Source organism: Homo sapiens, chromosome 14 (genome assembly GCF_000001405.40).
Source record: "Homo sapiens chromosome 14, GRCh38.p14 Primary Assembly".
Taxonomy (NCBI): domain Eukaryota; kingdom Metazoa; phylum Chordata; class Mammalia; order Primates; family Hominidae; genus Homo; species Homo sapiens.
Window position 1 is genome coordinate 76,149,213 of NC_000014.9, and position 22,353 is coordinate 76,171,565.

The 22,353-nt window shown below is 41.0% G+C and overlaps 1 protein-coding gene across 22 annotated transcripts in view; it reads left to right on the forward strand.

The window, feature by feature from the left end:
* The first annotated feature begins 2,709 nt into the window (after positions 1 to 2,709).
* The window catches only part of GPATCH2L (G-patch domain containing 2 like), an 83,634-nt gene continuing 63,990 nt past the window's right edge, over positions 2,710 to 22,353 (forward strand). For 12 of the 22 annotated variants that reach the window (XR_007064029.1, XR_007064030.1, XR_001750415.2 and 9 more), the window contains exons 1-4: positions 2,710 to 2,779; positions 3,324 to 3,557; positions 5,142 to 5,813; positions 17,451 to 17,515. Coding sequence is in view for 17 of the 22 variants with exons in the window: in XM_047431559.1 (XP_047287515.1) it covers positions 3,529 to 3,557; positions 5,142 to 5,813; positions 17,451 to 17,515 (766 nt within the window). In the remaining 5 variants the exon portion in view is untranslated. Of the gene's footprint in view, positions 2,780 to 3,323; positions 3,558 to 5,141; positions 5,814 to 17,450; positions 21,987 to 22,353 lie in introns of those variants that run through there. The other 10 variants (NM_017926.4, NM_001322028.2, NM_001322030.3 and 7 more) reach the window with 3 other exon arrangements.

Sequence of the window (22,353 nt, forward strand, 5' to 3'; positions counted from 1 at the left end):
AAATTGGAAATGCTGGTGAGGTGAACAAGTGGAGCTATCTAGTAGAAAAATGAAAATATAAGTTGGATTTCAAGAAATTTGGGAGCTTTCAGTGCTGATGCAGGCAATCAACACCGTGGGAACAGATGTGATTTGTGGGAGAGAATTTTCACTTATGCAGAAAAGAGGCCTAAGGCTGTGGACACCTGTTGAACATTTCCATATTTCTGTCCTGTGGGAGTCACAGATTCAGCATGTCCAAAATGGAATTAATCATCTTTCCACTAAACCCGTTTATCTTCTTGACTTCTCTAGCTGTGCAGATGGCACTGACCATTGTCTTAGTTGCCCTAGCTCAAAACCTCAGCTATCTTTGTCTCCTACCTTGACTTTTTTTCACCTATAGAACATTCTGAAAATCCACAAAAAACAATAGATAGGAGATATAATCATTGATAATGAAACCATTTCGGATATTGTATGGTGGCTTCTTCTGGTCATATTCCTTTGCGAGTATAGATTTAATTTCCTTTGTATGGGAATCATACTCTACATTTTTAGAGTAATCTTTTTATTGAAGTATAACAGTCATGCAGAAATGTACACAATCATAAGTCGATGGCTTTTCATGTCATTAAATATTCTTTTGCAACATTAATTTTTAAAAGTTGCAAGATATTCCACCCATAGATGTACCATAATTTAGTTAACTAACCCCTGTTGTAGAACTTCTGGCTTTTTCTAGTTTCCTCATCTCTCCCTCAGAAATGCTGCAGAGATGATTTACCTATATTTAACATTTTTGCGCCCATTTCCAATTTTTCCTTAGAATACAATTCTTTGGGGCAAAATTTCAGGGTCCAAGGTATGTGCATATTTTTAAATAAACTTTTTTATTTTAGGATAATTTTGGGTTTAGATAAAAATTATGAAGATTGTTACAGTTTCTGTGTAATTCACACTTTCTCCTATTATTCACTTTTTTTTTTTTTTTTTGTGACGGCTGAGTCTCACTCTGTCGCCCAGGCTGGAGTGCAGTGGCTCGATCTCTGCTCACTGCAACCTCCGCCTCCTGGGCTCAGGCGATGCTCTTGCCTTAGCCTCCTGAGTAGGGACTGGGACTACAGGCATGTGCCACCACACCTGGCTAATTTTTTGTATTTTTAGTAGAGACGGGGTTTCACCATGTTGGCCAGGCTGATCTCGAAATCCTGACCTCAGGTGATCCGCCCACCTCAACCTCCCAAAGTGCTGGAATTACAGGTGTGAGCCACCACACCAGGCTATTCACTCTTACAGAAGTATAACACATCTCACAATTGCAACCAATATTGATACGTTATTATTATTATTATTATTTTGAGACGGAGTTTCACTCTTGTAGACCAGGCTGGAGTGCAATGGTGCGATCTTGGCTCACTGCAACCTCCGCCTCCCAGGTGCAAGTGATTCTCCTGCCTCAGCCTCCCGAGTAGCTGGGATTACAGGCACGTGCCACCATGCCCATGTAATTTTTGTATTTTTAGCAGAGACAGGTTTTCACCCTGTTAGCCAGGATGGTCTCAATCCCCCAACCTCAGGTGATCCGCCTGCCTCGGCCTCCCAAAGTGCTGGGATTACAGGCGTGAGCCACCTCACCCGGCCCGATACATTATGATTAACTAAAGTTGATACTTTATCCAGATTTCCTTAGTTTTTACCTAATGTTCTTTTTTCAATTGCAGCGTCACACCCAGGACACCATATTACATTGTCATGCCTCCTTAGGCTCCTCTTGGCTCTGAGTTTCTTAGACTTCCCTTGCCTTTGCTGATCTTAACAATTTTGAAGAATACTGGTCATGCACTCTGCAGAATGTCCCTCAATTCGGGTTTGTCTGATTTTTTTTTCTTATAATTAGACTGGGTTATGAGATTTGGAAGGAAAGTACCATAAAGTGCCATTCTCATCATATATCATTCCACATACTATCAACATGATTTAGCACATAGTCTTGATCACCTGGCTGAATTACTGTTTGCCAGGTTTCTCCCCTGTAAAATCACTCATTTTCCCCTTTACAGATGTTGTACTTTTGGGAAGGAAGTCACTATGCACAGCCCACATTTAAGGAGGCAGAAGTTATGCTGCAGGATGGCTGTCTACATAAGTTATTTGAGATTCTTCTGTGGGGGATTTATCTCTTCTTCCTCATTCGTTAATTTATTCAATCACTTATATCGGCATGGGCTCATGAATATTTCTTTTGTACTTTGAGTTATAATCCAATATCACTTGTTTTATTGCTCAAGGCAATTTGAAATGTTCTGAGTAACTCAGTGCAAAACAACCTCTTCCAAAGGTTGTACCAGCTCACAGGGTAGACGTCATTAAGATCCATTTCCCCTCAACTTCACAGACCCATTAAAAAGGTCAGAAAGCAAGAGATAAGCTGACATCCCTGCCTAGCGCCCAATTTCTGGAAGCCCCTAAGGAAGATGAGGCCAGCATGCAGGGGTCTTTCCCCACGTGGGGCACCTCAACCCCTGAGACGCCCTTTCCCGGCCAGACCCTATTCAACACCCCTCCTTGTCCCCTGCCCCATCTCCTGGCTTCCTGTGGCTCCGCCCACCGCGGGGCGGAAGTGGGTGTGGCCACGGGCGGAAGCACTGGGTCAGGGGCCCAATCGTGCAGCCAGCCCCTCCCACTCGCCACCGCCCCACCCCTCCGGCCCAGACCGGAAATGAGGTCAGAGAGGGAAGCCCCGGCGGTGAGAGTCGGCCCAAAAAGCGGCGGCCGTTGGAGGTGGCTGCGGCAGCTGGTGAGGGGGAGGAATGGGTTGAGAGTGTTGGGGTCCTGGGGGCTAGTACCAGAGGGGATCGGAGCGCCAAGCCGCGGCTGAGCGGCTAAGGGCGTCTTGGGGCTGCGGCAGACGGCCGGAGGGTGAGGGTGGTGGGGCCTTGCTTTTCAGGGCCCTTGTCCCCATCCCTGGGGATGTGGGTCGGGCCGTCTCCGGGGCCACAGCCCCCTCTTCCCCTTTCTTCTTTCTGCCTCTCTGGGGCGGGCTGCAGCCTGAGGGCTTGGTGTCCCGAGCCATGGTCGCCCCAGCCCTCAGGGACGGGCCGGGGCGTGGTGGAGAGTCCTTCGAAACACAGTTTTTGTCATATATGTGGCCATGTTGCGACCCCCGATCCCGGAGGGAGCTCAGTCGCCAAGACTTGCATTTTGGCAGTTTCTGCCCTAGAAGAGCCGATCCCCGCCCCTCGTGAGCCCAAATGAGCAGTTGCCTCCTGCCTCTCCCACCTCCTACTCCGCCCCTCACTTCCACCCTGCTCCTGTCTCTCTTCTTACTTGCTGTCCACCAGCTACCCGTTCCTTCCTGTGCGTGACTCAGCCTCATCTCTGCCCGGGTGCGTGCCTGGCCGCCGGGTCCTCTCGAGAGTGTGCATCCGCGACTGGAGATGGGGAGTTCTAGGGTTCTTTTGTCACTACTGTTGGAATTACAGGCTTTGAGGCAGGAAAGGATTCTGCACAGGCATTCGACTGCAAGTTGTTTGATGACTTCGTTCCATGTTCAAGTTTGTGCTGTTCTGCCTGAGGTTTTTATTTGTTCTTTTGTTTTTGTTTTTTGTATTTTTGTTGCCTGAGTTTTTAAAGCAGTAATTCTTTATTAGGGAAGTAGATTTTGACATGCTGTTCCCACTTGTTTCTTTATTTTGGTCTTAGGGACAGTTGTCTCCCAAACCTCAATCATGGCATTTTAATCCACTTTTTTTTTTCCCATTTTTTCCCCTTCTTTTCACAGGTGTTGATAAACCACTTCTTAATGCTTAAAAGAACTTGGTCTTGTTTAAATGTATGTGCTTTTGGACACTTTGAGAAGCTTCGTTTGTATGGTAGTTTTGGAAGTAGGTGTCACTATTGCTCCTACAGGTGTGGCAGATAAGCCAGAGGACTGTTTTCCTGTCTTTAAGTTCATTGGCATAGGCACAGCATGAAAATAGGTTTTAGAAAGCCCTTTGCAAAGTGAAAACTGAATGAATGGGAATATGGTCAGAGAGTGGCACCACTTAGAATTTTAAGCTGATCTTGAAATACTTTGGGCATAGAGGCAAGAGAAAAGTGCTAAAAATTTAATATGTATTTAATTAGATGCTGTACAAATTAAATATTTCCCCTTAAGGGGGAATTTTGAAGATTGCTCCTACTACTGTCATTTCTTGAAATGTTTGTCTCTGAAGTGACCCCTGAAGTGTGATGTTTGGTTTGAGGATGAACAGAAAAATAAGAAATTTTGGAAAGCAGTTTGGCCAGAAATCTTAGAAACTTCACCCTATCCCTGTCATTTCAGCTGCTATTGTATCCTAGTTTTCTGTGATTGTGTGGCACTGAAGCACATAACTAGGACCAACATTTATTTTCTGGAGGGTAGGAGAGGGGCTTAAAAATTGTTAATTATTCAAAAATATATGACATACTGTATAAGGTTCTATACCTGGTAGCTTCCAGGTGGTAGTTGGTACCAGAATGGGCGCAAACTTAGTCTCTTCTCCATTCTGACTTCAAACCTGGGTCACTACAATTTCTTGGATCACGAAAACTGCATTCTTCCTTAAATGGTGTCACTAAGTTGTCTTTCTGTTTCTTTCTGCCATGGTCATTGTCAGCAGTGACCCCAGGCCAAAGAACAGTTTTTCATTCATTCTCAATACCTCGATGAGACCATGTGCTACTCTGTGTTTCCACAACTCTAGTGTGATTTTGAAGTTGTATGTTTTTCTGTTCCTGTCTAGTGAGACAGTCTCTAATCTTTCTGGATCTCATCATTAGGTAATTCAATGACAAGTTTAATTGGGGAAAAGAGAGAAGGATCTAGTCCCCCGAATTTGTTTTGGGTCCTGTCCCAGTTGTCTTCTGGTTAGTAGGTTTTTGTGCTTAAGAATATGTTGACTTCAGGCATTTAACAAGGGACAAAACATCTATTTTTAGTGACTTAAGGAAGTGGTAGGAACAGAATCTAAGTGTAGCCAGATGAAAGGTGACTTATTTTGTTTAGACAGGCAGAACTGTGGACTACCATGATCTGTTTCATCAAATTATTCCAAAACAACAGATCCTTTTTCAGGCTTTCTTTTTCTTTTTCTTTTCTTTCTTTCTTTTTTTCCTAAACTTCCTTTTGGCAGATGTGGCCTCATGGATGAGCTGGTACACGACTTAGCCTCAGCCTTGGAGCAGACATCTGAGCAGAATAAGCTTGGTGAACTGTGGGAGGAGATGGCGCTGAGCCCCCGACAGCAGAGGCGGCAGCTTCGGAAACGCCGAGGTCGGAAGCGTCGTTCTGACTTCACTCACCTGGCAGAGCATACCTGCTGCTACAGCGAGGCCTCTGAGTCAAGTCTGGATGAGGCCACTAAGGACTGTCGAGAAGTGGCTCCGGTGACCAATTTTAGTGACTCTGATGACACAATGGTAGCCAAACGACACCCAGCTCTCAATGCCATTGTCAAGAGTAAGCAACATTCTTGGCATGAATCTGACTCCTTTACTGAAAATGCACCTTGTCGACCACTCAGGCGCAGGCGGAAGGTGAAGCGAGTGACATCAGAGGTGGCTGCTAGCCTTCAGCAGAAGCTGAAGGTGTCAGATTGGAGCTATGAGAGAGGCTGCAGGTTCAAGTCTGCTAAGAAGCAGCGTCTGTCCCGCTGGAAGGAGAATACTCCCTGGACCTCATCAGGCCACGGATTGTGTGAATCAGCAGAAAATAGGACTTTCCTAAGCAAAACAGGAAGGAAAGAAAGGATGGAGTGTGAAACAGATGAACAAAAACAGGGCTCTGATGAGAACATGTCAGAATGGTGAGATCTCCCTTACTAAGTCAAAGATTTTCCTGGTTAATTTTTCCCAAAGTGCACATCCATGGTCTTAGTGGGTTCTACCTTCTTTCAAACCAGCCACTCTAGTATTGACTTTGAAGCCTTCCTTGAATCAATCAGTAGTTTAGCTTTTTAAGGTACCATTCATGAGTCTATTTCCCTCTGTCAGGAAGGCTATATGTAATAGAAACACAGTTGTTTCTAAAAACTGTTTAAAACGCGTACCTCAAATGCAAAACTAATAATTTTATTTTAAAAAACAATTTGCTGCTTATTATGCCATACAGTTTATACATAAATATTGTTGTTTAGAACTCAGGTCTCAGCAGAGGCTGGTGTGTGTGTGTGAGAGAGAATATGCTAGCGCCAGGTATACGGAGTTTATAAATGTTCCATTAAGTTGCCTGTCCTCATTAAGAATCATGGCTTTAGATGCTTTTTGGCTATAATTCTGTTTTCTGCTACTTGTGGTTTGATTATATTGAATTTATTTTTTTATGGCTGACATTCAAATTGTCTGAACACATGGTGGGCTTTGAAAATAACAGTACCGAGTCCCATTAGTCTTACATCAGATGTGATCAAGCCAGAAAAATTTGTCTCTAATGGGTACATGTTTAAAAATGTAAGTGTAGTTTTGGTGACTTTTTATTTTTTACATCTCAGATAGTCCTAGGAACATTGATACCCCCCAGCTTGATACTTTAATGTTATTAATATTAATCTGTGGTTATCTTTTTCTTAATAGTGAGGATGCCATTGGTGTTTTGGATGGGACAATTCTTTATGGTGCATTGCAGAATATTTAGCATCTCTGCATTATTCACACCCCCTTTTCATTGTATCAACCCAAAGGCCTCCAGGGGTGATCCCTAGGTGGATTGAGTACTCCCAGTTGAGAACCAGTGTATTCTATTATTGTTAATATTAGTTGGCATTTATTAAGCACTCAACTATGGGCCAGGCACTGTACTATGGACTTAGCATATACTCTTATTTAATGTTCACAATTCCACTATATGGTGGATACCACTATTTGTATTTACAGAAGGGAAGTTGAGGTTATAAGAGCTTAGATAATTTGCCTAAGATCACCCAGTGCCAAAACTGGGAATCAAGCCTGATTCCAAAGCTCATTCTTAACCACCATGTTGTGCTGCCCTTTGAGTTGTTCTGTCTCAATTTAACTTTCCCAACTGTAGAACATATGACCTTTCTGAAGTTTAGCTTAAAAACAAAGACATTAATCTTAGGAACACTGAGGTGAGGCTGTGTCAGTAACAGGAAAAACTGTTTAGGTCTGTATACCTGTACCTTTCTTGAGTGGTTTTTAATCCAGCTTTTAAACTTTTTCTTATTAACTTTATATTTGCCAGTCTGCAGACTATATTGAGATAGGCTCATAATTTGACTTTCCTAATTTTCCTCTAATGCCTCATTCCTTCTAAGGTCTATTTGCAGAATTTATATGTATATATTTGGATTATAAAGGTATTTTTCCCTCATCAGACTATTTTTAATCAAACAAGAAATGCTTAGTCAACTTGTAGCCTTTCACACTATTGAAACCCTCTATTGAGACATTCAAGTTTGTTTTAATATTGAGCATATATACCAAATAGAAGTCTTCTTAGTATTGAGAATGGTGATTTTAAAAGTAGCCTTTTGGGATAGTAGCTTTGTGTATGTTTCTTCCCCTTAATTTCTTGTTAAACTACGACATAATTGTATGTGAGAGAGCGACTGTTAACTCTGTCTGCTCTAACAGCCCAAGTATGGCTCCAGATGCAGAGCCTGTTTTCTAGCATGAGATGCTTCACTCTTTTCTGTTCCTTCTTACTCCAGACACATCTATTGCACATTCTAGTCAGGATGTAATAATGTAAATTCTCGTTATCTGAGAGTCTGGATAACTTAAGTGGATGGGAATTCTTATGAAATTCTTACTCTTTTCAAATTGAGGAGAACTCATTCACCCATTTGGGCTATTATCCTGGCCCCTCACTTCAGAGTTCTTTCAATATGTAGATGCTAAAGGGTTGTAGCTGTGAAGGAATAATGGGCGGAGTGGTGGCACACACGGCATTGAGGAAAGTTCTTTAAAATCTTCTAGTTATTTAGGAGTTCTAAATTCCCCTTGACTTGTCTCGATTCATTTGTAGTTACAAACAGAAGTGCTTTGTATTTTTTCCCCCTGAATCCATTCTGTGGGGAAAGGGGGTGATTCTTACTCTTTGACTGAATGTTGTGTTCAGCCTCTCTTCAAGAGGAGAGTGGAACTAAAATCTCCCTTAATTGTTAGGCACACCTTTAAAAAGGGCTGGCATTAGAGTGTAAGGAGATAATAGTATATGATTTGGATATTATACTGTCTTGATGAGTTGATTCTGTCAATAATTTTCTACTTTATTTTTTCCCTGCATTTTTAAAAGAAATACTTTCAAGAATCTTCTTGGTTACCCTTTCATAAATCTACTTGGATGTGCCACTGTTTATTCACATACAGATCAAAATGTAGAATTTTACTTTTTAGCAGTGGTATTGAGGGTTGTCAGAGTAATGATCCACATTGTAAGATTATTAAGATGAAGTTGATTGTTAAGCTTAGCTTAGCCTAGTCAATGGTAGCGTTTTTTTTTTCTAAAGCATGTATTAGATGTTTTAGATTTGAAAATGTGTGTCTCAATCAGCTTATTTCTAATTTCCTTAAACTCACTCTTTGCGACCTAAACATGGAGTATAGACTTCATCAATATTTGTTTGCTTTTCTGTTTCTGGTCTTCCTTTAATATTACACCAGCCAATCCCTCACAAGTTTTGAGGAACTAAAAATGGTTATAGTATAGTAGTTTTTTTCTGCTTGCATAGAGATCAAACTATTATTTTAATATTTTTCTGTGTATGTGTGTTTGTGAGTATTCTAAAGCAGAACAACTACTGTAAAATTATTTTCTACTGATCTTTATTTAAATTGTCTGTATAGCAACTATTAATAGCTATTAGCTATTAGGTGACTGTAGCCTAATTTTGCTCTATTCTTTACTAACACATCATTTGTTTGTTCCCCTTGAATATAGTTTAGCTTCTTTTTTTTTTCATAAGTGAATTGGTTGGGTGATGGCCAGAGGTCACATTCAGGAGCCTTCCTAAGGTGATGTATTAGAGGCTGATCTCACAGGAAAGAAAATATTCTCCTCTCTTGGAAGGCAAGTGACAGAGATAGAGTGCTAAACCTACCCACTCCTTCTCCAGCCCAGGCTGACCTTCTGCGGCCCTTTGGTGCCTCTTGTTTTCTTATTTTTATAGAAAATCAATATCCCTTCTGATACAAACAATAGCTCAGAAGCAAGAATAAGTGGGAGAAAGCTGAGATCTCTGTCCATCACCTCTCACTTTAACTCCCCCAAACTCTTTAATTATGAGTGTGCTTTGCTCCAGGTGTTTGTGACAGTGAAATTGCTAAATGAGGACCATTTTAACCAAAGATTGGGTGATCAATAACACTCTATAGCAGTAGCTTGTTGGATCAATAGCATTCATTATTTCATGGTTAAGGTAAGTAGCCTCCTTTGCAAGTGGAGGTCATTAATCAGGGTTTCCTGGAGCTGTGTAAAAGAATATGTATGGTAGGTGGGGGTGTTCTGTTTTCTATTCTGTAAGTAGGGATGCTGACCAAGAATATATTTACCATTGTTGCAGTTGGTAGTATTGCATGTGAGATTCTCGAATAGCTAGCATAGTGTGCTTATGTGGGTATATTCACAGTTCTGCTAGTATCCTTAGGGACAACTAAAACACACAGCTTGGGAGGTCGATATGATACTATTGTACTTGAAGGTCTATCTCTTGAAAGAAACATCCATCTCGTAAAAGAGTCTACCTCTTAAAAGAAATATTGGGATTGTTCTGTGTGGCTCCACAGGACAGAACTCAGGGATAGAGAGTACAGAGTGTTAAATGTTGCTGCGGTTAAAAAATAAGATTCTAAAAATTAGGACTCTGTAAAAATGAAGTGAATTGTTTCACCATGTAATGCGTAATAACTTCTAGATCAGGTGGGGGGATTCAAACATGGGCTTGATGACCGCTTACTTAGTTGCTGTGGAGTTGAGAAGGTTGAACTGAAGGCTTCTGAGATCCCTTGTAACACTGAGATGCTGCGATTCTTTTCAGTCACAGTCTACTTCCCACCATTGTAATGTCTTAACTGGTAAGTAGCCTCAACTGCCCACTTGAATTCTTGTGGTTCCCACTGGCAGTCATCTTCAAAGATTCATTCTTTCTCTCAACTTTTAGAATGATATTCCCTTTTCTCTTATTTCGCAGAATTTGTTCAAAGGCCTCTTGGTATTTGCCAGCAAGGGTGCATAGATTACCCTTGGTCCCCTTCTCTACTCCCGTGGACATAGGTAACTGCCATTCTCAGATCTACAGCTGGCCAAGAGAATATGCAGAGCCCCTAGCCCAGTGCTCCCAGTGCTACTGGGAGGCTTTTATCTCATACAGCTATGCTGGACTGAGATAGGATCATCTAACCCTCACTGCTTGATTCTGACCCCATTCCAGGAGTGTGCCGTAAATGAAGGTGTAGAAAACACTGCAGTCTCCAGAATGTACTGTCTCCAGAATGCACTTCTCTGCCCATGTCAACTGGAATCTTTGTTCTTGAAGACTATACTTTCTAGGACTCAATACCCTATAACTGCTTCCTACCCTCAAACACAAATACACACAGAAAACACTAAGCTTCCCTATCCAAGTGTATTCTGGGAGTTAGAGCCACCAAATAGAAACTGAAAGATACTCAGGCCGGGCGTGGTGGCTCACGCCTGTAATCCCGGCACTTTGGGAGGCCGAGGCAGGTGGATCACAAGGTTAGGAGATCGAGACCATCCTGGCTAACATGGTGAAACCCCGACTCTACTAAAAATACAAAAAAATTAGCCTTGGCGTGGTGGTGGACGCCTGTAGTCCCAGCTACTCAGGAGGCTGAGGCGGGAGAATGGTGTGAACCCGGGAGGCGGAGCTTGCAGTGAGCCGAGATCACACCACTGCACTTGAGTGCACTCGAGCCTGGGCGACAGAGCGAGACTCTGTCTCAAAAAAAAAGAAAAAAGAAACTGAATGATGCTCAATGGGAAGAGAAGGATAGAACCACACCCTGCCTCAACCTGTAGCTGCCTGATTTTCTGACTGAAACTGGCCTTGCATTTCTGAACTGCAAGGTGACTGTAGAGAAAGGATGCAGGGGCTTGCTATCTACCTTCAGGGCAGGCTCAGCACTTCTAACGTGGGCCTCCATTTCATTGTCAAGTGTGGTTCTATCAGCCTTGTAGTTTGAGGAAATCTTGGCAATAGGCCATCTGTATTCTCTATTGCTACAGAAAAAAATCGCCCTAAAACTTAGTAGCTCTAAACAAAGAGACCAAGTCTGTGAGTATGTAAATATTCCCAGGGAAGAAACCAAAGTGCTGGAGAAGAAGATACAACTGAAGAGAAAAAAGTGTTCTTGAGTTGAAAAATTAAGTCTTAAGATTAAAAGCGAAAATTAATGAGAAGAGACTTCTACTGAGACGGAGATTTTAAAAAAATATTTTATTTTAGTTTTTCTTTTTTTCACATATGCTCAAGACTAAGGAAAGAAAAATCTTAAAAGGGGTTGAAGACTGGGTGCAGTGGCTCAGACATTCTTAGATATGCAGGCCCCAGAATCCATGTTCTTTAAAAATTTACTGTGAGAAGACGTTCCATCTACCTGAAGATGAATCACTGTTAGCTCTAAGAAAAGGGAAGTCTTGAAAGGATGGGTGGACTTCTCTGAGGCACAGCCCCCAGCTCAATAGCAGAGTCCTGAGGAAAATTCTGTCTCTGCAAAGTATACCTGATTGTACTAGTCACAGTATCGAACCTGTCAACCTGCGGAGGTTGCTGCCTTTCATGGCACTGTCTGAATGAAACTGAAAAAGAAATTCTTTTATTATATATTCTCATTACTTATAGGAATAATTTCAGAACTGATGTGAGATATTTCTCTGAATAACCTCTCCCTCAGTCTTGTTTACTACTAGATTCAGAAGTCTGATTACAAAGGGTTACCAGTGTGCCACCTCTACCCTGGAAAAAAACTGGAAAACGATAGAACAAAAATACCTTTGGGCAGTAGATCTAAGAGTGACTTTTTTCCACGTTTTTCTAAATTCTGAAACAACTTTTATTTTTGTTAAGTGCATTATTATTTACTAAGAAAAGTTTTTTAGAATGACGATGTAAGCCATAAACTTTAAGATATCTATTAATTAGATGCAAAAAACACCTCTTATTAAGCTACTTGGTTAATAAGCTCTTAAATGGGGAGAAACAAACCCAGATGGTAATTTATTAATACCAACTTTTGATTGTAGGTGATAAAGTAATTCTGTACCTCCTTATTATAATTGGAACAGGTATAAGTTACTCTTTCAGTTCTCACTTTACAGTCTTCTGTGGTTAGGAGTATGAAAGAATTAGCAAGCTCTCAGATCAGAGGGTGTGCTGTGCTTTTTTCCCACCCCCTGCTCCCCCTGGCAATTTTGGGAATTCAGAGGGGTTTATTTTGTTGAAACTAGAAGCTACTGTTTAGGAAGAAGGGAATTAATTTCAACAAAGAGTTTATAAAGATTCTGTATTATCTGTTGCTGCAGAAAAAATTGCCCTAAAACTTACTAGCTCTAGGACGGGTGCGGTGGCTCATGCCTGTAATCCTAGCACTTTGGGAGGCCTAGGCGGGTGGATCACCTAAGATCAGGAGTTTGAGACCAGCCTGACCAATGTGGTGAAACCTTGTTTCTACTAAAAATATGAAAATTAGCCAGGCGTGGTAGCACAGGCCTGTAATCCTAGCTACTTGGGAGGCTGAGACAGGAGAATTGCCTGAACCTGGGAGGCAGAGGTTGCAGTGAGCCGAGATCGCGTCACTGCACTCCAGCCTGGGTGACAGAGCGAGACTCCGTCTCAAAAAAAATAAACAAAAAAAAACTTATGAGCTCTAAACAATGAATACTTTATCGCTTGGAATCTGAGAGTGACTTAGCTGGATGGTTCTGGTTCAGTCTTCTCACGAGGTTATAGTCTAACTGTTGGCAGGGACCTCAGTTCTCTCAAGGCTCGACTAGGGCTGAAGGATTTGCTTCCAAGCTCACTCACATGGCTGTTGGCAGAGCTCATTTCCTCATAAAGCTATTGGACTTAGAGTCTCAGTCCCTTTTCACATGGGCCTCTCCGCATGCCCATCCGCATCTGTAGGACATGGTAGTTGGCTTTCCGTTGAGTAAGTGATCTGAGAGGGGTGGGGAGAGTCAGAAAGAGGGCCCAAGATGAAAGCCACAGTCTCGTATAACCTAATTGCAGAAGTGGCAACCTATTGCTTCTGCCGTGTGCGATCAGTTATACAGACCATCCTGGTGCAGTGTGAGAAGTACTACACCGGGGTGTGCATTAATAGGAGGCTGGGTAATTGGGAGTCATCTTGGGAGTCTGGTTAATTACCACAGATGACTACTGGCTTTCTGAAACTTTTTTTTCCTAGCCTTGTATGATGCTAAAGTCAGGAATAGTATTCTCAGACTGATATTTCCCCTGAACTCATTAAGAGGATGTTTTTACTTTGATTTCAAAGGAAGATCATTCAGGAACCATAAGGGCAAGTGAGGTATGGGTCCCTGAGAGTATATTTTGGTGTATTTTATGTCAGTATGCTGAAAATGAGTGTTACTTAAATTCAAGATACAGCATTAAGGAGGAGAGCTTCTTTCCAAAGTGAGTTTATAATTAGTTTTCTTAGGGTTCAGCATATATGATATATTATTTGCTGATAAGGGATAGTAGTCAAGGCACAGCTACAGTTTCAGCTGTGCCTGAAAGTTTTAAGTAGCTAAAAGCAAAGGAACACTTCTTCCCTAGCTCAATTAATCTGTTTGCATCTTCAGGAGAATGAACAGTCCTGAAATTCAAAGGTATCTTCTGCATAGAGAAACATAGGATTGACTTTAGTAAATGAGATGAGTATCTGCACCATCTGTGTTGTAGTGGCCCTTCAGTGAACGCATGGGCTTTAGGCATACACTACCCTGGCTCTGATGCTTACTTGCTGTGTGATCTTGGGTAACTTGCATACTTTCTCTAAGCCCCTTTCCATTTGTAACATGAGGTTGATGTATTCACCTTGTGGAGTTTGGGGGTAGAAGCAGCATAATAATTAATATAAAGTGCTTAGTATATTACCTGGCCTGCAGTAGAACTCAGTGAGTGATATTTTTGGTATCATTAATAATAGCCTTCTGTATTAATAATTTTCTGAATAAACTCAGTTCAAGTATCAAACCCCTTCCTGAGGCACTTGTAGATCTTGGCTGAGAGTAGTGCCTCCTCTCTTTTGGATGAATCCCAGTACAGGAAAAATAATAGATTTCATAGGCCACATTTTGTTTTTCCATTTAAAATGAAGATAGGTTTGCATCTTATAAAATTTAGAGTGCTGTTCTAATGAGAAGGTTGTCAGTGAGGAAATTAGTACTATTAACCTCTAAAATAATATTTAGACACAGACTTGGTACCCTAGAAGTAGCTTTCTAATCTTTCATCATTTGCATTTGTGTATTGCTTTAGAGTTCACAAAGCGGGGTCACATGCCTCATACTATCACATCCTCAATAATCCATCCACATTTTACATGTAGGGAAACAGAACTAAAGAGTTGAAGTGACATGCCGCAAGGCCATATAAGGGCAGGCAACAGAGGTGTCTAGAACAAGTTCATTCTATTTACGTAACATTCACTGAATGTCTGATATGTGCCAGGTGCTATGTTAGGCACTGGGGACATTGAGATGAGCAAGATATTTTTTTTCCCTGGCCAGATCATTCTCTTCCATGGTTACTGGATCTTCTTTCTGCCCCGGTTAGGCAAGGAAGGGTGAACTGTACGACTCTTGAGTAGTTTCAGTTCTACCAGTTTGTCTGAAGGTCCGGCTGCCTTCTGATTGTTTCTGGATCTGGAGGCTTCAGATCATTTGAGGCCCTGGCCCAGCCCTGGCAAGGAAGTGGTATTGTTGCTTCTATGGGATGTTGACTGCTGCATCCAGCTAACGTGCACAGGCTCCTCTCTTCTCAAGTAGTTTCCCTAAATGGGACGCCCTACCTCTCCCAGCCCTCTGCTTTGTTCATCACCATAGATCAGGGTTCTCAACTTAGGCACTACTGGCATTTTGGGCCAGATAATTCTCTGTTGTGGGGCTGTGCTGTGCATTGCAGGATGCTGAGCAGCATCCCTGGCCTCCACTCACTAAATATCAGTAGTTCACCAACTCCTCCTTCTCTGCTTCAAATCATGAGTATCAAAAATGTTTTTGGATATTGCCAAATTGGGACGGGGGCTGCAAAATTGTGTCTAGTTGAGAACCGTAGTTCTTGATGTTTCTGGTACTGAGATTGGGTCTTTACTTTATTGACTCTGCTTTTACCAGTAAGTATGAGTTTCAAATTACAGAACATAATACAACCAAAACACTGATCTATAGATAGAATATACAAATATAAAAAAAAGAATATAGAATAAAAAACTATTGATCTATAGTTTTAAAACTGAGAATTTTTGCTAGTTTGAAAACCATACCCTTTAATTGTACCTTGAAAGGCAAACAGTTCATCTTCAGAACTTGGAAAGAAAAGCAGTTGAGATGAAAGCATTTTCAAGTCAGTACCAAGTTTACAGCGTTTAGCTAACAGTGGACAAGAGGGTTCCATAGTCTTTTATTAGGCTTGATTCCTATGATAATATACTTGTCAGAAAGTAGATGCCATGTCCAATCATCTGGCTTACCTAGGGTGCCTCTGCTTTCAAAGAGGCTCTGGTGGGAAGGTTAGATAGAGAGATGTGAAAAAACAAGGAAAGCAAAATGTTACTTGCAGAATCTAAGTGATGAAGAATTTCCTAGTAAAATGTTGGGAGCAAAAGCCTTTGGAGCTGCAGGTTAAGATGACTTTCTTTACACTAACTCTGTTGTTTCAGTTGGATGTGGTTCAGTTGCCTTTCTAGCAATGTTATAATAATTAGGTAATACAGTTGGAGGCCCAACTTATACTAAGCACATAAGAGAATAAAATGAAAGAATCTATAAAGAAATAGGGTTTGGGCTGGGTGCGGTGGCTCATGCCTGTAATCTCAGCACTTTGGGAGGCCATGGTGGGCGGATCATGAGGTCAGGAGTTCGAGACCAGCCTGACCAACATGGTGAAACCCTGTTTCTACTAAAAATACAAAAATTAGCTGGGTGTGGTGGTGCGCGCCTGTAATCCCAGCTACTTGGGAGGCTGAGGTAGGAGAATTGCTTGAACCTGGGTGGTGGAGGTTATAGTGAGCCGAGATCGCACCACAGCACTCCAGCCTGGGCAATGAGCGAAACTCCATCTCAAAAAAAAAAAAAAAGAAGAAATAGGGTTTGTTCCATTATGGCACATGTATACCTGTGTAACAAACCTGCACATTCTGTGCATGTATCCCAGAACTTAAAAAAAAAAAAGAAATAGGATTTGTTTGTTGACTATTTCTGTGACAGATCTTTTGCATCTGGTATTCAGAGACAAGCTTGAGTGAGGAAAGCATTGCTCCTTAATTTAATTGGCATTTTTAAGATTTAGTGTTGGAAGGACATTTGGAAATGTTGCAAAATACAAAATATTTTCAGATTTTTGATCCAGGAATATAGATTGGGATTTTGCCAAGCCTGTGTTTTCTACAGCATGGTGAAAATGCTTCTTCCTTGCTTTGGTTTCTTGCATCTTCTAGAGTAGGTGAAAAAAAAATTTTTGACTCTCTTGGAAGGAAATAATCCCAATCAAAGAAATAGCTAATACTGTAGAGGATTGAGAAGTTTTTCTTGAACCAGATAAATCAAATTTAGAAGCACACCATGAGAAGAAACAAAATCAACTGTGAGCAATAGCTCAGAAAATGAAACTGGGCAGAATTTCGTGGGACAAAAGTTATATTTCAATGAGTTCAAATTAAGTTTGTTTTTATATTTTTGTTTTTAACTTTAGTTCCTTTTTTCAGAATGAGTTTTGTGTATCTGCTCGATATGAAGGAGGACAGTAAATTCAGAAAACATAAGTTTTGTCATATTTTTTTCTTGTTCATGGATTTTTGTTTACTTCTTTGTAGATGGGGGAAAACTTGAAAGATGCTAGATGTCTTAAAATTACATAGCTTCATTTGAAACTGATAGTTGGCAATATTTGAGAATAAAATTGTTTGGTAAATTTGTAAATTTGTGTTGTTGAATATACCAAACTAGGTTGAGATTACGTCTTTGAGCTTTAATAGCTTTCTAGTCCTAAACTAACAAAGTGACTTTAGATTTTTTTAGTACTTTAAAATATAAGTGAAAATTTTAGAATTCTCCTCTTATATTTCTTTTGTTTGGGGAGGAAAATAAAACTTTGTAGCTTCCTGATGAAATTTACATATCTGATTGACTAACAGGTTGGAGTGAAATTAGGGAAGCTTGAAAACCAAAATAAGTGTACAGTGCTTTGTTTTTGACTGGAGCTGATGAGTTCTCTTGTGTTTTACTCTTTTTACAGTGAAACCAGCAGTGTGTGTAGCAGCAGTGACACTGGGCTCTTTACCAATGATGAAGGGCGACAAGGTAATGTCGATCCCAGCTTTGGGACCTTGGTTCCGTGTTTATGGAAATATTTGAATAATCATAGGAGTGACTCATGGAGAATATGGTGACTGTCTATGGCAGTGGTTCTCAAACTTTAAGGCATATGAGAGTCACCTAGGGAACTGTTAAAACTGCACAGTCCTGAGCTCCTAGAAATCAAATAGGTCTAGAGTTGGCCCCTGGAATCTGCATTTTTCACAAGCACCTGAAGTGATTCTTATGCCAGTAGATCAGACTTGGGAATCATTGGTCTAGGTGGTCAGAGTGTTGAGCCTGGGACATTGGGAAGTTTCTTTTTATTAGAATAAAGAAATAGGTTCATGTGTTACTGTCTTTTTTTAGGTGTTAAGACATTATTTTCATATAGAGAAAATCTTGTCACTTTTGTAGCCTTATTTATAAATGATTATAGTGTCCTAGGTGAATATATTATATAAAACATCATCTTCCTCAAAGTAAAACTGGAGTATAGAGTCCTGTGAATAAGGCTGGTATAGTTAATTACCAGTTCTTTATTTTTACTACCTAAACACTAATTTAAAACTTTGCCTATATATAAGGGTATTTTAGAAAATGTTTGTCCTCTAGACTTGTGTGGGGCCACATGCCAATAAAAATTTTATGTAGCCTTTTTGGACTGTGGTTTTCTTAATCTAAATAAGGGATTTAGGGATTTCTAAAGTCTCTTCTCACTCCGAAGTCCAATAATTTTTCTCCACGGGTTAAGCAATTAAAGGACAGACGTAGTGGCTACATGTCTAGGTTGATCCAAGTAGGCTCCCCAGTAACTGAAGAGATACTGGGGCTGTGAGACTTAGCATCCAAGTCCTGATTTTTGGAGAAGGACTGTGGGGCCAGCATCTTGTTCATGCCTCGAAGTTGTAGGCATAGAGGCAGTTTATCCTCCTGGAGTTGTTGAGCTTCCTACTGTAATGGAGGTTGTTGTGAGTACATTTCTATCTTTTAGATTCTGAGGGAATTAGGTGTCATTAGAGATTATGTGTGTGTGTGTACAGGTAGGCTGTAACTAGAGTTTTGATTTTATTATACCAGGAAAGTCTGATGAGTTTCCATGAATGAGTTATATATACTATTCAGAGTTACCAATATTTGCTCTTTTTCTTTGCTTTTCTACAGTGCTAAGAATATCAAAATGCACCTCTTAAAGGCTATGATGCATAAGTATAGAGATGGAAGAAAGTGTGGACCTGTTACAGCAGATTAGATTTTCGGGCCTTTGGAAAGCCTTTTCACTGATAAGGATTCCTTAGTTTATCACGAGAGATTATAGAATGTTCTGTACACCTAGCTTTCCTCTCTTTCTCTGCTTCAGCTTCACACATTCTGGTGACATTGATGCTTAGCGTTCTCAACGTAAAGCTATGGGATTTCTTGCTTCTCTGCCTTTGTTTATGCTGGTCTTTCTGCCTGAAATCTCATCCTCATCTTCCTTGAATGACTGGTCATCTACCAAGACACAGTTTTCCTCTTGCCCCTGCAAGGGCATATTTATGAACTATATCAGTGGGTCTTCTTGGTTTCAATTTCTTGTTGGGGTTGGCCTATAGGAGGCATCAACAGAAGACCAAAGGGAGGGAGGTGAGTGATATTGGATATATTAGTCAAGTATTTATTGTGGTAATGCTGCTTAACAGCCCCCAAATTTTAGTGGCTTCTCACAGTTTACCATACTCATTTCTTGCTATGGGGCTGTGAGTTGTCTGTGGTTCCACTGATCTTGCCTGGGCTCCACTGGTCTACAGGCTTCAAGTTAGGTTTACATCTACTCAGTGTATTGTATTTTGGGACCTAGGGTGGAGGAGCAATGATGATAGGCGGCATGGACTTCCTATGGCAGAGGATGTAAATGCCAGGTGACCAGGCTAGACCACAAGTACATATTTAAAGCCTTTGCTTGAATCATATCTGTTAATTTTCTACTACGTAAAGCAAGTCATATGACCAAGCCCAGAGTCAGTAGGATGAGTAAGTGTGCTCTTCCTAAAAGGGAAGGTACTGTGGAATCCAATGGCAAAGAGCAAACGTCATGGATGGATGATTCTGCTATAGAGAGTACTTGGAAATGCTAATGCAGTCTACCACATTAGATTATTGCTTTCCCTGACACCTTTTCTGTTGGATTGCTGGTTGGCAGTGGTTGTGTTCCTCTGCTGAGGGCCACCACTCTTGTTTGGCAGCCTTCTTTTATAACCACAGTTCTTTGGGTTCTGATAACCATTCTTTCCCTTGCCACTCCAAGTCTAGGAATGGTAAGGGCCTCCTGCTGTGCTGGCTCCACCTGATGTGCTTCACTATCCCCTTGTGGGGTTCCTTGTTAGTACTGTCTCCACCTTTGTGAATAGTCACTTCATTACATCTCTGCAATGACCCCATTTAAATGTGCCATGTGTTTGCTGAGGGGGTTCTGGCCAATAGCCCTTTCTCCTTTGTTCTCTGTGGCTCCTTGTATTATACTTACTGTTTCTTTTACTACTCACTAGATTATGTTATTGTTTGTAGGTACGAGTCTTTTCCCTTGAGGCTTTTCAAGGCAGGACTTATTATGTGCAACCACAGTACCTAGCATGTTCCTGGCATATAGTAAATGTTTAATAAATAATTATTTATAATCCAATTAAGGGGAAAACTCTCCTTTTTTTCCCCCAAACAAAATCGAACATAGATTCTCAGATTGTAAAACAACTAAGCCTATTTGGTTTAAAGCAAAATTCTAGAGGAGCCAGAGGTCAGGAGCCCGATCCACCTAGCTTCTTGCTTATTCCCTGGCAGCGCTCTTTTAAGGAGCTCCTCTATCAGGCATCTTAGTGAACCCTGATTGAAGACTGCTGGTCTATGTGGTCTCACAACGTTCCTTCTAGTTCAGGGAGTCCCTTTTTGTATTATTAAAAATCTTGAATGACTGCTTGAGAACCAAAAAAATTCCATTATAGTTTGCCATTTGTCGTCAGAAAACATGGCCTAATTAAATATACTATTTCAATAAATGGCCTAAGGAATGCTTATGAATAAGAAAAGAATTAATATATTGAAGTACAGAGAAACTAGTTATTATACACTAATGCCTGTATTCAGTTCATCTATGTATCTGGTTTCGTGAGATGCTTTTAGAGTAGCGGTTCTCAAAACGTGGTCCCCAGGCCAGCTTGGCATCATGAGGGAACTTGTTAGAAATACACATTTTTGGTCTTGCCCAGACTAGAATCAGAAACTCTGGAGTAAGGGCTCAGCAGTCCATGTTTTAACAAGCCCTCCTGCTGCTTCAGATGCATGCTCAAAGTTGAGAACTACTGTAAGAGAGACAGCTGTTTGTGGTGTGTTTTTATAAGGGAACACTTTGAGTAACTTTCTTAGTTGTAATATCTCCTGCTTTTCACCAGAATGCAGTTTTCATTGCCCATTTTGGAGATCTCCACAGTGATTTAAGAGTTATTATCCTGCGTGTTAATGACCCATGAATCTCATACTTCATGGGATTGACATTTCTGAGCAACTTGTCTGGAATCCAGTGTACATTAGAGACTGACTACATTATGAACTCTTTAGATATTCTTGTAATAATTTCCTTCAATTTTGCTATTTTGCAAGGGGTATGTGGTGGCAGACATACAATTATCTATTCTTTGTTGGCAGGAATAAACTCTAGTGGAAACTGAGATACTATCACTATAGCCAGTAGAAAGAAGTTTGTACTACCAACAGTCTGGATATATGGATCTGGTTGTGACTTTGCTGTTAATTAACAAATGGCCTTGGGAAAATGGTATAACTTATTGAAAAGCCTTAGGGGATTATGTTATTTGTTGCTGTGGTTATTTTTTTTTTCCGCAGTAGCTTGGATTTCTAGTGTCAAGATGATTTCTGTCCCATTAATGAGATACCAACGATAAATGAAGTATGGACATATATTCTTTATTCACCTTTTATGATAAAGGCAAATATAGCAAGAAATCCCTCAGGTATAGCTAGCTTTGAATTGAGAAACATTTATGGGTTTTGAACCTCCAAGTTTATACCACTGAGAATGGTATAGGGGAGGCAGTTTGTTTTTGTAATAAAGATCTCAGGCTTTTGAGTTAGTCAGGCTTTGGGTTCAGATCCTGGCTTCATTGTTTACTAAATTGACCTTGACTTCTCTAGGCTTTAGTTGCCTTGTTTGTAAGTTGGAGTTAGTGTAGGGCTTGGAAGAGATGACATATTTACAGATTTTTAGCATGGATCCTGGTAGGTTGTAAGGGTTTAGTGAGTGGTAGCTTTATTTATTTATTTTTAGCTATTAAAGCGGTCCAGTCTAACACAGTATGACATTTATGTGAAACCAGGTTGGTGTTCCAGTTTTCATTGTAAAATGAATCAAGAAGGACCAGAACAATGCCTTGATTTATTTAAAAGTATAATCAGCCTGTAATTCCAGCACTTTGAGAGGCTGAGGTGGGTGGGAGGATTGCTTGAGCCCAGGAGTTCAAGAGCAGCCTGGGCAACATAAGGAGACCCAGTTTCTACAGAGAATTAAAAAAAAAAAAAAAGACTGGGCGCGGTGGCTCACGCCTGTAATCCCAGCACTTTGGGAGGCCGAGGCGGGTGGATCAGTTGAGGTCAGGAGTCCAAGACCAGCGTGGCCAACATGGCAAAACCCCGTCTCTACTAAAAAAATACAAAAATTAGCCAGGCATGGTGGCGGGCGCTTGTAATGCCAGCTACTCAGGAGGCTGAGTCAGAGAGAATTGCTTGAACCCGGGAGGGGAGGCGGAGGTTACAGTGAACCAAGATCACGCCACTGCACTCCAGCCTAGGCAACA